Source organism: Homo sapiens, chromosome 15 (genome assembly GCF_000001405.40).
Source record: "Homo sapiens chromosome 15, GRCh38.p14 Primary Assembly".
Lineage (NCBI taxonomy): Eukaryota > Metazoa > Chordata > Mammalia > Primates > Hominidae > Homo > Homo sapiens.
In genome coordinates, this window is record NC_000015.10 from 83,943,511 (window position 1) to 83,961,467 (window position 17,957).

General features: G+C 39.5%; 1 protein-coding gene and 1 long non-coding RNA gene across 13 annotated transcripts in view; one reads left to right on the forward strand and one right to left on the reverse strand.

The window, feature by feature from the left end:
- ADAMTSL3 (ADAMTS like 3) overlaps positions 1 to 17,957 on the forward strand; it is a 385,720-nt gene that overhangs the window by 289,388 nt on the left and 78,375 nt on the right. The window lies entirely within an intron of this gene.
- LOC105370935 (uncharacterized) lies at positions 717 to 17,847 on the reverse strand. The gene is made up of 3 exons (XR_007064744.1): positions 2,097 to 17,847; positions 937 to 1,067; positions 717 to 809 (listed from the first exon to the last, which is right to left on the reverse strand). It is a non-coding gene; the product is annotated as an uncharacterized LOC105370935 (long non-coding RNA).

Consider the following 17,957-nt stretch of genomic DNA (forward strand, 5'->3'; position numbering starts at 1 on the left):
TTTTACCCTTCATCATGGCAAGCTTGAATTAGTGCAGTGAGTAGAATTCTAGTAGATCGTTTCAGTGCTGGCAGGGCTTGACCCAGTCTAGTAATGAAGCCTTATTTTTCAGGTGGGGGAAATTAAATCCCAATAGCTGAAGTAAGCTGCCTAAGCTCCACAGCTGGAAAAGTAGCAGAATCCACTTGTTTTGACTTTATTCCAAGAGTTCTTTCTGTTATATTACACTGCCCACTTGATCTTTCTGTATTACTCTCCCATCTCCAGACTAGCTAACATCCCATAGTGTTCCCATCACTGTGTCCATCAAGTCTCCAGCTTGTTCAGAATCTTCCATAAGTCTGATTGCTTGCAAAATCAAGTACAGTAGTCCCAGTTTATTCACAGGGAATACAGTCCAAGACCCCAGTGGATGCCTGAAACTGTGGATCATACTGAATTTTATATATCCTATGTTTTTTTTTATCTGATAACTGAGAAGACTACTTAAGTGACTAATAGGCAGGTAGCATGGATGGAATGATTCATGTCCTGGGCAGATGGAGCGAGATGGTGAGAGATTTCATCACACTACTCAGAACGTCATGCAAACTAAAACTTACAAATTGTTTATTTCTGGAATGTTCTATTTAATATTTTTGGACCACAGTTAACTGTGGAAAGCGAAACCGTGGATAAGAAGGGACTATTGTATATGTTCCCCAGAATAGCTGGTAGGGCCTTTCTTGCACTCATGGCTCTCTTACTCCAGTCCTTATTCTTCTTCCAGCCCTTTGCTCCAGTCTTGCTGCATCCTTAACATCTGCAGGCTGAGATTTTAGCACAGATTCCAAAACACATAATTAGTTATGTTATCAGTGTCTTGTAACCTTCAGTCACTGCTAACTGGTAGGTATCTTCTTGGAGTGGAGACCCAACCCCAACATCAGAACTAACCTCAAGAAATAAGGAAGGACAGTGAGTGACATTCACAACCTGCTCTGAGTCCTAGGTTCAGTGCCAGGCATAGTCATGACCTGCTCCTCTCATATCATCCTACGATAGCCCCAGAAGCAGACGTTGTCTCCCTTTTTATAGATGAGAAAAACAGAGGTTCATTCAGATTAAGTAACTTGCCCAAGGACAGAGATAGATTCAAACCCAGGCCTGTGTGACCCAAAATTATTACACATGTATACACTCCTGTCTTTTATGCAAGAGAAAAGGCTTTTGAGTCCAACAGACCCATGCTGGTACCCCAGCTCTAAAGCCTAAATCTGGGTGGCCTTGTTAAATACACCTAACCTCTCTGAGCTTCCGTTTACTTTCGCTAAATGCAATGGTTCTTGTGAGGATAACATAAGATATTTGACATGGCAATGTCTAGTAGAGTAGGCTCTTCCCATTGCCCTTGATAGAAGGTCCACATTTCTGGCTGTAGGTTGGATTAACAGTATTTCTGTACATATATCCAGATTGGGATTTTTCCTGTTTTAACCGTGTAGTTTTGTTAAGTGCTAGTATTTTAAAACTGTCTTAACTGAAAACCTACAGGTCATTATCCTCAATCAAGGCCACTGAAGGTCTACATAAACTTTCCCTGAAACCTCAGAAGAGGCCCAAGGAAAGAGATGAACCCATCTCTCCAGGGTCTACAGAGCAGGAGTTGCCCTAGGATCCAGCCACCAATACCCACTTCCTCTATCCAACTCACAAGCAGCTGGAGACAGTGCCAGTGGCCACAGCTCTCCCCGGAAAGTTGCCATACTATAGGTCAATGACTTGAGGGACAGGAGTCCCTCCTGCAGTCAGGTCCTAAACAAAGAGAAAGGACTGATCCAGGTGAGACCACCACCCCAAAGGAGGGTGGGAAGGACAGGTAGAAGGTCTGTCTGGAGAGCTTTGTGTGCAAAAGTGGGTTTGCTTAATTTTCCTCCTACTTGCACAAGGAACAATAGACGGCCCAAGGGAGAATCATTCTTTTGGGAATTCCTTTGAGACTAGGTCAGGCAGTGGGGGCTGGGCAAAGGTGTTAGAGAGGTGGGTAGCCTGGGTGGGCTAGTGTGTAGGCAGTATTTATTCCATCACCCAGCTAAGCCCCAAGAGTGAAGTCTTACCTTGCCCCATTGTCAGGAGAGATGAAGGTTCCAGTTACTGTTTCCATAAAGTTAGGGACAGAAGGAAGGGCCACAATTTTGTGGGGAGAATCTTGGCATTGTGATGCGTGATTCTCCTTGCTACACTTAGTGTGGCCCAAGGACTAGTCAAATTGACATCAGCAGGGAACTTATAAGAAATGAGGAATCTCAAGTCCCACCCAGACCTAAGGAATCAGAGTCTGCATTTCAACAAGATCCCTGGGTGTTGTAATGATACACTTGCAGTGTGAGAAGTGTTTCCTTACCTGCCTCTCATTCTTGTTTGGGTGAGTTAGCCCTTACATGTGTCCAAGGTAGGAATGGCCCTGGGTAGTGACTTCTTTGATCAAGTGCTGCCCTAACCTAAAGGGAGGAGGCAAGAAAAGGGAAGAACAGCAAAGGGGCAGATATTGAGGAGGAGAAACCAGACAGCTTGTTTCTGGATGCAGCGAGGGAGCACCTAGAACCACTGCCAAGCTCTAAAATACCCCACTTTGCTTCTGTCCTTGCTTCTTTCCTCTAAGAACAAACAGGCCTTCACAGTTATATCCTGCCTGGTGGAACAAACGGTTGTCACTGGTGTCTTAGAGTGGAGGCTAGTGGTGACATCACCACTTTCCTCCGTGTCCGCTCTCTCAGTGAATAACTGAATTTACAGTTGCCAGTTGCGTATCACTAAAGTAACACCATTGCACATCTATGTGGGCCCACTTGTGTGTCTTTGCTCTTGTGGCTTTCAAATCCTTGGTCCAACTGTGAGCTTTCCTCTTCTGTGAAGTTTTCCACTTCCTAAAGTCACCCAGCATTTCCGACTTTTAAATCACAGTGACCCTAATTTTTACTGTTTTGCAATGGTAGCTATTTCCTGAGCATCCACATGGTCTTCCCATCTGGTTTATATTGTCCTTGAGGCCAGTGGCCATGGGATTGCCAACAGGTCCTCCAGTTGTTCAGAGCTCTAAGCAAGTAAATACTATTCCTCAACAGTCTTTGCAAAGTCAGAGAAAATCCAAAGTGGTGTTGAAATAGTGATCTTTAGAAGAGCTCAGGTCTGCTAACACAGGAGAGGCAGATCGTTCATTGGAGGGGTTTTTGTTGAGACAAAGAAGAAAAGGAAACTTAAGAGGAGGCTACCCATGTGAGCTGGTTTGGACTGGAGGCTGTTTAGTTTCATAGGCAACCATTCATCAGGGCAAAGAGCAAGCTCTTCTGTGCTCCAAGAGGTCAGCCCAAACTCAAACAAGACACTCTGGCTTCCAGTCATGACCTCACATCTAGGAAGCCCCTATCTGGGAGGAAGGGCAAGCGTATATACACGCACAAGAAAACAGAGGCAGCCTCAGCCTGTGACACCAAAAGCCATTGGTGAGGCTTGAGCGCAGTCAGGCACACAACCTGTTGCACAGAAATTTTAGTTTTCTACTGGATGGAGCTTTCTCCTGTTAGTTAAAATTTCTTCTCATCAGAGTTGCTTTTTTTTGGCAGAGACTCTGATACCAAATTGCCACCCTTCTTAAAGCTTCCTGCCAAACTAGTCCTTCTGCCATGGGATGGCTCACTTGGGGGCAGCCATCCATTTTGTGGTTCTGGATAAGGTCCTTCCACGTTGAAACTGGCCACTAACCCTGGACACAGAAAGGCTGAGCAGCCACGCCAGAATTTCCATTCTTCACGGAGCCAGGCCTCTGGCTTGCAGCCAGAATCTTCCTCTTCCCCGACACTAGCTCTATTCATGATATGTTTAAGCTCTGTCCATTCATTGGCTTATGAGTTTGCCTTGGTTCCTTAGATCTGGACCAAGCCTTAGGCAGAAAGGAGCCTTCAGTTCTTACACTGCTTTTGAAGTTATAAGAAAGGAGCATTGACTCATATCAGGCAATCTTCCCAAATGGTGAATTTCTGTGATCCACATACCCCTTGTAGCCTGTTTTGTGTCCCACCTCTTGGCTGAAATAGCCTCCTTTATTTTCTGTACTTTGATGGAACATTTGATTATTTTGTTTATCTTCACCTTTTTCCTTCATCATGTTTCTTGGTGTTTTTATTTTTTCTACTTATCTGACTATGTCTTTTCTGTTGGCTTCTCTTCTTCCAAATCTCAAAAAGCCCAATATTTGATCCTTTTCCATTGCTACACTTTTCCACTGTGGTTGATTCTGTGTCCTGAATTCTTTAACTCCCATGGATGATTTTCAATCTCCAGAAAGTCTCTAACCTTCTAACCACGTCTCCAGCTCTCCATCTAGTTTATATCCTCATCGTGGGAAAGCAAAGGGACAGCCTCTTCACTCTCTCCCAACCAGTTCTCCCCACTTCCTGTCTCTGTCCATGTACCACTGTCTTCCAACACTTATGATCATCTCTGAGTTCTTCACCTCCTATATTGTTATTCGTATCTGCCAACTCTTCAACTCTTGAACTATTAATATATCTAATATGCTAAGTAAAAAGGAAAATATCTCTATAACTGAAAAATGTTATAAAGAACAACCCAAGATATGTCCAGGATACATGGATTTTAAAATATGGCATTCCCCGATTTTCCATAGAACTATGAATTACAACTCGTGAAGGAAGTAGTGTGTTGAAGTCAGTTCTTACTGGCCAGTGAGAACCACTTATGATCTCATCCCAACTTGTGCTCAGTCACATAGGGTTGATAGCTGGAAATCAGCCATGATGGGAGTATTTACACCACAGAAACTGGCAAAACCATCATGGCTATTTCCTCCAAGAACATGTTTTGAAACATTTACCAGCACACAAGTGCACAAAAGCTTATTTACACACACACACACACACACACACACACACACACAGAGTTATGAATGAAACACTTTCAGCTTATCGATGGTGCTTAGGATGGAAGTGCCCTCAAGAAGCTCCCATCTCTGAGCTCTTTGATACAAAGTCTAAGAAACTTGGTTGGGCTTCCTTAAGACATTTTTTATCTTTATCTTCATAACTGGTGTTTCTTGGGGCCAGGAAATATCAGACCTCTGGGTGAAGATACATTCTATGAATCATTATCCTACAGATTTAATTTGGTCTTGATCGAAGGTTGTTGATCTAAATGCATTAACTGTATGTTCAGATATTCTTTCTGTGAATAAAAGACCAGTTCAGCTCTTAAGGTTTATTATAAAACTCTTCTTTTACTCATTTTTATTATGTGTTATTAATTATGAGTTTTTTATTATGAATCACTAGGCAGATAACAATTCTTTTTGAATTTTTTTATTTTTAATTTTTGTGGGTATATAGTAAATATATATTTTATGGGGTACATGAGATACTTTGAAACAGTTATGCAATGTGTAAGAATCACAAAATGGAGAATGGGGTATCCATCCCCTCAAGCATTTATCCTTTGTATAATAAACAATCCAAATTATATTATTTTAATTATTTTAAAAATGCAATTGAATTGTTTTTGGATATAGTCTCCCTGTTGTGCTAGCAAATACTAGGTCTTACTGATTCTTTCTAACTATTTTTTGTACTCATTAACCATCCCCACATCCCTGCCCAACTACCCTACCCAGCCTTTGATAACCATCCTTCTACTCTCTATCTCCATGAGTTCAATTATTTTAATTTTTAGCTCCCACAAATAAGTGAGAACATGTGATGTTTGTCTTTCTGTGCCTGGCTTATTTAACTTAACATAATGACCTTCAGTTCCATCCATGTTGTTGCAGATGATAGGATCTCATTCTTTTTTATGGCTGAATAGTACTCCATTGTGTATATGTACCACCTTTTCTTTATCCATTAGTCTGCTGACGGACACTTAGGTTGTTTCCATATCTTGGCTATTGTGAATACGGCTGTGGTATACATGGGATTATAGATAGCTCTTTAGTATCTGATTTTCCTTTCTTTTTGGTATATACCTAGGAGTGAGATTTCTAGATCATATGGTAGCTCTATTTTTAGTTTTTTGAGGAACCTCCAAACTGTTCTCCATAGTAGTTGTTTTAATTAACATTCCCACCAACAATGTACAAGGGTTCCCTTTTCTCCACATCCCTGCCAACATTTGTTATTGCCTGTCTTTTAGATAACAGCCATTTTAACTGGAGTGAGATGGTATCTCATTGTAGTTCTGATTCGCATTTCTCTGGTGATCATTGATGTTGATCACCTTGTCATATGCCTGCTTGCCCTTTGTTTGTCTTCTTTGGTAAATGTCTATTCAGATCTTTTCCCATTTTTAAACTGGATTATTAGATTTTTTTTTCCTATAGAGTTGTGTGAGCCCCTTATATGTTCTGGTTCTTAAACCTTTGTCAGATGGGTAATCTTCAGATATTTTCTCCAATTCTGTGGGTTGTGTCTACTTTGTTGATTGTTTTATTTGCCGTGTAGAAGCTTTTTAACTTCATGTGATCCCATTTGTCCATTTTTACTTTGCCTGTGCTCGTGGGGTATTAATCAAGAAATATTTGCCCAGAGCAGTGTCCTGAAAAGTTTCCCCAACGTTTTCTTGTAGCAGTTTCTTAGTTGAGGTCTTAAACTTAAGGCTTTAATCCATTTTGATTTGATTTTTGTATATATTAAGAGAGAGGGGTCTAGTTTTACTCTTCTGCATATGGATATCCAGTTTTCCCAGCATCATTTATTGAAGAGATTGTCCTTTCCCCAATGTATGATCTTGGCACCATTGTCAAAAATGAGTTCACTGTAGATCTATGGATTTATCTCTGGGATCTCTACTCTGTTCCATTGGTCTATGTGTCTGTTTTTATACCAGTACTATGCTGTTTTGGTTACTATTATCTCTGTAGTATAATTTGAAGTCAGATAATGTGATTCCTCCAGTTTTGTTCTTTTTAGTCAGGATAGCTTGGGCTATTCTGGGTCTTTTGTTGTTCTTTATAAATTTTAGGATTTTTTTATTTCTGTGAAAAATGTCATTGATATTTTGATAGGGATTGCATTGAATCTGTAGATCGCTTTGGGTAGTATGGACATTGCAACAGTATTGATTCTTCCAACCCATGAACATGGAATATCTTTCCATTTTTTATAGTCCTCTTCAATTTCTTTCATCAATGTTTTATAGTTTTCATTATAGAGATCTCTCACTTCTTTGGTTAAGTTGATTACTTGGTATTTCATTTTATTTGTAGCTATTGTAAATGGGACTACTTTCTTGATTTTTTTGATTGTTCGCTGTTGGCTTATAGAAATGCTACTGATATTTGTATGTTAATTTTGTATCCTGCAACTTTACTGAATTTGTTTATCAGTTCTAATAGTTTTTTGGTGGAGTCTTTAGGTTTTTCCAAATGTAAGATCATATCATCTGGGAACAGAGATAATTTGACTTCTTCGTTTCCAATTTGGATGCCCTTTATTTCTTTTCTTTTCTTTTTTTTTTTTTTCACCTGATTCCTCTAACTAGGACTACTAGGACTATGTTGAATAACAGTGGCGAAAGTGAGCATCCTTGTCTTTTTCCAGATATTACAGGAAAAGCCTTCAGTTTTTCCCCATTCAGTATGATACTAGCTGTGGGTCTGTCATACATGGCTTTCATTGTGTTGAGGTATGTTTCTTCTATACTCCTTTTTTTTAGGATTTTTGTCATGAAGGGATGTTAAATTTTATCACGTGCTTGTTTGGCATTAATTAAAATGATCATATGGTTTTGTTCTTCATTCTGTTGATATGATGTATTACATTGATTGATTTGCATGTGTTAAGCCATCCTTGCATCCCTGGGATAAATCCCACTTGGTCATGATGAATGATCTTTTACTGTGTTGTTGAAATCACTATGCTGATATTTTGTTGAGAATTTTTGCATCAGTGTTCATCAGGCCCTGTAGTTTTCTTTTTCTCTTTTTGATGTGTTTTTGTCTGGTTTTGGTATCAGATTAATACTGGCCTGATAGAATGAGTTTGGAAGTATTCTATCCTCCACTATCTTTCAGAACAGTTCGAGTAAGATTGGTCTTAGTTCTTTAAATGTTGGTAGAAACCATCAGTGAAGTCATTGGATCTCAGGCTTTTCTTTACTGGGAGACATTTTATTATGGCTTTGATCTTGTTAGCTTGTTATTGGTCTGTTCAGGTTTTGGATTTTTTCATGGTTCAATCTGGGTAGGTTGTATGTGTCTAGGAATTTAGCCATTTCTTCTAAATTTTCTAATTTATTGATATGTAATTGCCATAGTAGCAACTAATGATCCCTTGAATTTTGCAGTATCAGTTCTAATGTCTTCTTTTCCATCTCTGATTTAATTTATTGGGGTGTTCTCTCTTGTTTTCTTAGTCTGGCAAGAGTTTTGTCGATTTTATTTATGTTTTCAAAAAACCAACTTTTTGGTTCATTGATCGTTTGTATCGTATTTCTTCTACTAATTTTGGGTTGTTTTGCTCTTGATTTTCTAGCTAAGATGTATTGTTAGGTTGTTTACTTGAAGTTTTTCTTCTTTTTTGATGTAGGCATTTATAGCTATAAATGTCCCTCTTAGTGTTGCTTTCACTGTATCTCATAGGTTTTGGTATGTTGTGCTTCCATTATCATTTGTTTTAAGAAAATTTTCAATTTCCTTCTTAATTTCTTTATTGACCCACTTGTCATTCAGGAGCATATTGTTTAAATTCCGTGTATTTGTACATTTTCCAAAATTTCTCTTGTTATTGATTTCTAATTTCATTCCATTGTGGTCAGAAAAGGTGCTTGATGTCATTTCAGTTTTTTGAGTGTTTTAAGACTTCTGTAGGGCTGAACATATGGTCTGTTTTTGAGAATAATCCATGTGCTGAAGAGAAGAATGTGTATTCTGCAGCCACTGAATGGAATGTTCTGTATCTATTGCCCTATAGTGTAGATTAAATTGGATGGTTCTTTGTTGGTTTTCGGCCTGGAAGATCTGTCCAGTGTTTAAAGTGGGATGTTGAAGACTCAAGCTATCATTGTATTGAGGCCTATATCTCTATATGGCTTTGATAATATTTGTTTTATATATCTGAGTGCTCCAGTGTTTAGTGCATATATGTTTACAATTGTCATATCCCGCCAGGCGTGGTAGCAAGCACCTGTAATCCCAGCTACTTGGGAGGTTGAGGCGAGAGAATCACTTGAACCTGGAAGGTGGTGGTTGTAGTGAGCCAAGATCGTGCCACTGCACTCCAGCCTGGGCGACAGAGTAAGATTCCACCTCAAAAAAAAAAAAAAAAGAAAAAAACATTGTTATATCCCCTTGCTGAACTGACCCCTCTATAAATTAAACAATGACATTCTTTGCCTGTTCTTACAGTTTTTGCCTTGAAATCTATTTTGTCTGATATAAGCATAGCACTACTGCTGTTTTTGGGGTTCCGTTGGCATGGAACATCTAACTCCATCCCTTTATTTTCAGTCTATGTGTATCTTTACAGGTGAAATGTGCTTCTTGTAGGTAGGCAACAGATCAATGGCTCTTGTTTTTTCATCCATTCAGCCTTTCTGTGCCTTTTGATTGGGGAGTTTAGTCCATTTACATTAAGTGTTACTGTTGATAAGTAGGGACTTTCTCCTGCCATTTTGTTATTTGTTTTCCGTTTGTTTTGCAGTCTTCTCTTTCTTCTTTCCTTCCTTCCTGTTTTCTTTTTAGTACAGGTGATTTTTTTCTGGTGGTATGACTTAATTTCTTGCTTTTTATTTTTTCTGTATCCATCGTATGGTTTTTGATTTGAGATTACCATGAGGCTTGCACATACTATCTTATATCCCATTATATTAAACTGATGACAACTTAACACATTGTGTAAACAAACACACAAAAAGAAAACTAATGAAAACTCTATACTTTTACTTTGTCCTCTCACTTATTAACTTTTTGTTTCTCTTTATGTTTTATTGTGCTATCCTGGCTTGAAAGTTGTTGTATTTATTATTTTTTGATTGGTTCATCATTTAGACTTTCTACTTAAGATTAGTTTTGACACCACAATCACAGTGTTATAATATTCCATGATTTTCTGTGTACTTACTATTACCAGTGAGTTTTGTACCTTCAGGTGATTTCTTCTTGCTTATTAATATCCTTTTATTTCAGACTGAAGAGCTCCCTTTAGCATTTCTTATAGGACAGGTCTGGTGTTAATAAAATCCCTCAGCTTTTGTTTGTCTGGGAAGACCTTTATTTCTCCTTAATGCTTGAAGGATATTTTCACTGGATATACTATTCTAGGGTAAAAGTTTTGTTCCTTCAGCACTTTAAATATGTCATGCCACTCTCTCCTGGCCTTTAAGGTTTCCACTGAAAAGTCTGTTTCCAGACTTATTAGAACCCCATTGTGTGTTATTTGTTTCTTTTCTCTTTTTGCTTTTATGGTATTTACCCTTGACCTTTGGGAGTTTGACTATTAAATTCCTTGAGGTAGTCCTCTTTGCACTAAGTATGCTTGGTATTATATAACCTTCTTGCACTTGAATGTTAATATCTTTCTCTAGGTTTGGGAAGTTCTCTGATATCCCTTTGAATAATTTTTCTACCCCTATCGCTTTCTCTACCTCCCCTTTAAGACTAATAACTCTTAGATTTGCCCCTTCAGGGTTATTTTCTAAATCTTGTAGGCATGCTTCATTATTTTTTATTCTTTTTTCTTTTGTCTCCTCTAACTGTATTTTAAAATACCCTGTTTTCAGGCTCACCAGTTCTTTCTTCTGGTTGATCAGTTCTGCTGCCAAGAGACTCTGATACATTCTTCAGTATGTCAATTGTATTTTTTAAATCTAGAATTTCTGCTTGATTTTAAAAATTAATCTCTTTGTTAAATTTATCTGATAGAATTCTGAATTCCTTTTCTATATTGTCTTGAATTTGTTTGAGTTTCCTCAAAATGGCTATTTTGAATTCTCTGTCATGTATCTCTGTCACTCCAGGATTGGTCCCTGGTGCCTGATGTAGTTCATTTGGTGAAGTCATGTTTTCCTGTAGATGTCCTTTGGTGTCTGGGCATTGAATAATTATGTATTTATTGTAGTCTTCACAATCTGGGCTTTACAGTCTATGCCTGTCCTTCTTGGGAAGCCTTTCCAAGTATTCAAAGGGACTTGGGCCCCAAGCCCAGTAACACTGTGCTTCATGCACACTCATAGAGATATCACTTTGGTGGTCTTGGATAAGATCCAGAAGCATTCTCTGGATTACCAGGAAGAGACTCTTGTTCTCTTCCTTTACTTTCTCCCAAACAAACAGCATCTCTCTGCCTCTGTCTCTGTCTCTCTCTCTCTCTCTGCTGAGCCACCTGGAGCTGGGATTGGGGTGATGCAAGCACCCCTATGGCCACCAACACTGGAACTGCCCTGGGTCAGACCTGAAGCCAGAATAGCACTGGGTTTCACCCAAGACCCACTGCAGCCACTATCTGGTTACTGCCTATGTTCACTCAAGGCCCTAGGGCTACAGTCAGCAAGAGTTGAAGCCATCCAGGCTTATGTCCTTCCCTTCAGGCTTATGTTCTTCCCTTCAGGGAGGCAAGTTCTTTCAGGCCCTGGGCATGTCCAGAGATACTTTCTGAGAGCCAGGGATTTAAGTCAAAAACCTTAGAAATCTACCTGGTATTCTATTACCCTGTGGCTAAGCTGCCACTGAAACCATACAACAAAATCCTTCCCCCTCTTCCCTCCCCTTTCCACAGGCAGAGGAGCTCTCCCCATGGCCATCATCATCAGCAGTCCGTAGAGAGTTCTGCCAGGCTACCATTGCTGATCACTTAATGCCTAGGGGCTCTTCAGCCAGCTTGTGAATGCTGCCAAACCTGGGATTCACCCTTCAGGGTAGTAGGCTCCCACCTCTGGCCCAGGGAAGGTGCAGAAATGCTGTCCGAAAGCCTAGGCCTGAACTCAGGGACCCCTGAAGCCCACTAGATACTCTATCCACTGTGCTGAGCTGTTACCCGAAGCCAGCATATCTCAAAGTCTCATCCAAGGCCCATGGCATACTACCTGGATATCACTTTTGGTTATTCAGGGCCCAAGGGCTCTTTAGTTAGCAGATAATTAATGCTGCCAGGACTTGGTCTTTCTCTTCAAGGCAGTGGGTTCCCTTCTGGCCCAGGGTGTGTCTAGAAATGTCACCCAGGAGCTAGGACCTGGCATGGGGGCTTCACGACTCTGCCCAGTGCACTGTCTGTGGCTGAGCTTGTATCCAAGATGCAAGACAAAGTACAAAGTCCTCTTGACTGGTCTCTCTCCTCTCCTCAAGCAGAAGGAAGGAGTTGCTTTCATTGCTACAAGCTGTGCTGCTTGGGGTTGAGGGAGGGGTAGTGCAGGTACTTCCCCAGCTGCCCCATCTGGTGTGTCACTAGGTCACACACTGCCCCAGTCCACTGGCTCTAACCCCAGAACACCATCAGACTTGCCTAAGAATCTGAGTCCTTCCTAGACTGCCTTTCAAGTTCACTTAGGACCCCACAGCACCTTAGCCCATGGTGGTGAGACTGCTGAAACTCAGGCTCCGGCCACTGGAATAGGCACTTCCCCTCTGGCTAGGGCTGGTCCAAATGCTGTCTCTGTGGGTATCAGCTGAGTTCAACATGGTTTCACTTCCCACTGTGACAGGGCAGCACTGAGTTCAATGCAAAGTCCCCCAGTTGCTGTGCTCTCCCTCCCTGAAGTGCACAGATTCTCTCTCCGTGCCATGCAGCCACTGCCAGGGAATGGGGAAGGGGTGGTGTTGGTGATTTAAGGCCATCTTTTCTGCCTTCTTCAGTGCCTCTTTCAGTGATAAGAAATTAAAAACAAGTACTGTGATGGCTCACCCAATTTTTAGTTCTTATGAAGGTGCTTTTTTGTTCACAGATAATTGTTTAAATTTAGTTTTCCTGTGGTAGTGGGAGTAGGGGGATGATCAATGTAGCCTTCTATTCTGCCATCTTGCTCTGCCCTTTTTGCTAAGCACTCTTCTACTGGAATAATAGTGTCTTTTTAGACTGAATCTGACAGTTTACTCTTATATTATGACCCATCCAAAATATGCCCAGTGGATTCAAATTCATGTAGTTCTATCTGTTCCATGTGTTTTAAGTTACACACACACACCGCACAGGCACACACACACACACACACACATAACCTGAATACACTTTATTTTCCTGACCCAAAGTAACTGCCAGAGGGGAAGACCCATTTCTGCACATGTTTGTATCCCACTTGGTGCTTGGTAAACACTTTTTGGCTGAAGTATAAAGATTTATAAAAGCTTCTTCTACTCTAAATAGGCCTATTTCCATAGCCTTACAAACTCACTCATTTAATCAACATTTACTGAGCATTGCTATGTTGATTACCCTAGGCACCAGGAACCAGAGACAACTAAGAATAGTTTTCAGTGAGCTCACTGTTTAAAAAGGCAGGCAGAAGAAATGACATTTACAACCATGTAAAAAATGCCCAATAAAGGTGTTCTGTCTACAGAGCTACGTGAAAATTGAAGGGAAACGTTTAAGTCTGCCTGGGTCACTGGAAAGTGTTGCATAAGATGCAGCTTTGGAGTTGCGTCTTAAGAGATGAGTGCAAACTGTGTGGAAATGAGACAGAGGGGTGTTCTAGAGTGACAAGCGTGTATATAAAGGCACAGATTTGGGAGAGTTTATCAGTCTTGTGTGGCTTGAGAACAGGATGCACTGAGTAAGTGCTGGTAGGTGAGATGGAAAGGAGAGATTACAGCTGGATTGTGAAGGCTTTAGGGTATTGGATTTATCCCTACAGTCATTGAGAGCATGTTGGAAGGTGTTTGAATGGGGAAGTAAAATGTAAGGTTTTAGACATATAATTCTGGCTGCACTATGGATAAGGTATTAGAGGAAGAAGGAATTGAAGCTTGAAAAACCTTGTTAGATGGTGATTGGAATAAAATCAACAAGAGAGAATGAAGAAGCAGTTGGGATAGAGAGTAGTAAGTGGTTTTGAACAATATGTAGGAGATTTAACTGACATATTTGGCAATTGAATTGACAGGACATGAGCAAAAAAGAGGAGTGTTTTGTATTTTTGTCCTGGGAAGCTAATGAATGAGACGACATTAATTTTAAAATTAATTAGAAAGAAGAAGCATATTCAGAAAGTGACTTGAAAGGGAGAGAAAAATGGCTTATTTTAGACATACATGTAGTTTGAGAGTCTATAAAGGTATCAGTAAAGAATTACAGCTCAGAAAAGATCTACATTAAAGTTATAATTGCGTGAATCATCAACACATATGTGGTAGTTGAAACCATGGAAGATGACTACCATGATATCTAAAAGTATATTATTGACAGTAGTCCCTTTAAAAATTATTTGAAGGCTTCTAGTGAAGCAAAATCATGGTAGTAGCATAGTTACTATTCCCAAATCCCTCATTAAAAAACAAAAAGCAGAGCAATTAGGAATGCAGAAGGAAAGGAAAAACAACAGAGGTAATTTTAACAAAAGTAATATAAGTAGGTGAGGCCAAACCACACAGTGCAGACACTGTTCAGAAATGGCAGAATTAGCAGCTGGGCAGCGATAAAAAAGAGGAGAGACAGGGCCAAGAGTTGTGGAACACAGATGTCACGAATAAATAGCATGACAAGAAAATGATCCTACTCTGAGTAGAACCCTCAGCAAATAGGTCTGAGACCAATCAGCCAAATTGAGGAAGGACTCCAGAGTGTGATTGGTTCCAGAGTGTGATTGGATGCAAGAAAGATTGTGCAGAACCACTAAAGGGCTTAAGAAGTGCCCAAGAAAAGTTGTCAGAATTATAATCCAAGTGGAGAAGGAACACAAGAGGTAAAGGAAAGAGATGTTCAGATCCTTGGGAGTTGGGGAGTCCAGAGATACAAATCCCAGAATTGTGGCCAAATTGTTGCATATAATACTTCCTTTTAACACCAGAGGAGGAAGCTCTTAACAGTGAAGATAACTATCCTGAAATATTCCCTCCTGCTTACACTCTCTTTCCCTAAAAGTACAGAAAACAATCTAATTCATTTAATAAGAACATCTGCAAACCTCCAAAAAGATACAGTAAGATAAAAGTATCAATAGCATACCAACATAATGAAAATTTGGCCTTTAAACAGATGAAAATATACTCAGTGTTACAAAATGAGCTAAGAGAAACAAAAAGAAAACTGTAGAAACAAATCAGAAATAGAAAATTCAAGAAATGAGATGAATAAATAACAGGAGAATGTAAAATGATAGCTGACGGTTTAGAAAAGAATTTTTAAAACTAAGGGTAAATTTCTCAGAATGTAGACTAAACACTAGAAGAAACTCAAGAATGACTGGGCAGAGAAAGTGTAATAAGCAAAATAAAAGGAGGGAAATGACAAGAATCAAAGAGAAATAAAAAAAGATTCAAGTGCAGATAATATATATAAAAGACAAGGAAATAAAATTCAATGAATATAGAGTCCCAGGAAAAGAAAACCACCAAAAATCATAACAGAACAAAACTTAATGGCTCAAATTGCCATATTGAAAGGGCACTCTATATACCTGGGAAAACTGACCCAGAATGGTCAATATCAAGACATACTCAGCTGGGTGCAGTGGCTCAAGCCTGTAATCCCAACACTTTGGGAGGCCAAGGTGGGTGGATCACTTGAGGCCAGGAGTTCAAGACCAGCCTGGCCAACATGGTGAAACCCTGTCTGTACTAAAAAATATACAAAAATTAGCTGGGCTTAATGGCACACTCCTGTAATCTCAGTTACTCGGGAGGCTGAGGCAGGAGAATCACTTGAACCCAGGAGGCAGAGTTTGCAATGAGCTGAGATTGTGCCAACAGAGCAAGAATCCATCTCAAAAAAAGGACATATTCTACTAAAAGATAAAAATATATTTGTGCATCTATGCAAAAGAATCAAGTCATTTATTAGGGAAAGAAAATCAAACTGACGCTAGACTTCTCAACAATACCACTTCATACTAGAAAACAGTGGAGCCACATATTTAAGATACTGAAGGAAAGAAAGTGTGAGCCAAAGATTTTATATCCTGCCAAACTGACTTTCAAGTTTAAAGGCCACAGGCAAATAGTTTTGAAGATGCAAGAACTCAATCTATATTGTTCCCATGAGCAATTCCTGAGGAATCCACGAGATGTCTATAGAGGAAACCATGACAAGCTTTGGCATAAAGTTGCTGCTTTGTGAATGATAATTAATGGCACTGATTATGACATCTCCTCTCTCTGTGAGTTGTGGACATTCTCTGATGGCATGCTTACTTTAACTTAGCAGACACACAGTCACAGAAGACTTTGCTCCAGAAAAAAGGGTTTACAAACCATCCTTCCATTCAGGATGGGGAGAAAAAGTCAAATATGTATCATTAAAAATGTCTTCTGAGTAGCCATTGGCAGTTATTTAACCACTTTTATATGAACAAAAGTAACTCACATAGTAGTTTAATAAAAAGCTGACATTCATTTTTATTATGTGAGAAACTCCTAGATGATGTTTTGACTTGTTAAAAAAGTGATAATATGGTAATGGTAATTTAAAAATATTTATTCAAAAGCTTACAAAAAGCTTTTGTCTATACTGAAAAATAATAATAATTAGGGCTTTCTGTTAAAAGATGTCACTAAAGGCATTTTTAAAAATTCCATTTTCCTCCTTTGAAACCCAACAAAAAACCCACTAAAAGAATGAAAGAGAAGGAACACTGTGTCTTCAATGAACAATGAAATGGCCACAATCCCAAACTATAAATTAAGAAACACACCTGCCAAAGACCATAAAATCTGGACCAGAATGAGGGGGAAGGCTGAGAGCTGACAAATATTTCCTCAGGCGCCGAGCAGGGTATAGATTTCCCTAGGAGTAAATGTGGCAGTCCTGAAAGGCCTGTTCTAGTTCTTTGATGACAGAGACTAGATCCTGGATCATGAAGTACCTCGGAAAAAAAACTGAGGATGTCCCTTGCAGAACCATGATGGGAGACATAGCTGAGGGAGAAGGCATATTTTTATGCCTCCTTGCCAAGGAAGGCTGCCAGAGATGAAGTGGTATGAAAGAAGGAGGGGGGAGGGGCAGCAATTGTTGGATTATTACACAGTAAGCCAGTTATTTAAGAGGCTCTTTTATTTGTCTCATCAACTATTCAAATTCGAAAATCTGAAAGGAGATGTGGGTAGAGGAAATAAGAGATTTGGTGACAGAATGTTGAAGACAACAAATGGATGTAAAGTCTCCTAGCTCGTTTCTCCCACCCGTGTTACTCACAAACAGCCAGCTGTATTCAAAGCACCAGCATAATATCTATGCACCAAAACTAGGGGGAAAAATCAAAAGGGAGGGAGGAAGTCATGGGATGGGGGAATGGAGCATAAAGCAAGAGTCACATGGATAACATAAGATTTTCCCCAGAGAAAAGTTGAGACAGATAGGTTCTATACTTCCAAGGAAGTTATAGTCTTGATGTCTAGGGAAAAAGTGGCTTTAAAGTGAGGTTTGAGTTCAAAAAAGAGACTATAAGACAACAGAAGGAGATGGAAAGACAACTGCAACAGTCAGGAAAAAAGAAAAATTTTTAAATGGCAGATACAAAAATAGCAAACACAAAACTTACATTACAAGCAACAACTTAAGAAAATAAAGGAAATGACTGGAAATAAAGGGAGATGGGATACAGACTGGAATAAGTCATATAAAATTATATGGAAAAGAACAAAGATGTAAAATTGGTTTTTAGTGGCCATAAGGGATATGGAAGACGGACAAAGGAGATCAAACATAAACACAATTGGTATTTGTTGAGAAGAACAAAACACATGGAACAGAAAAGTATTCAGAGACAAAATAAGGGGAATTAATTCCCTTTAATAAAAGCTTTTATCTGCAAGTCATAATAGCACA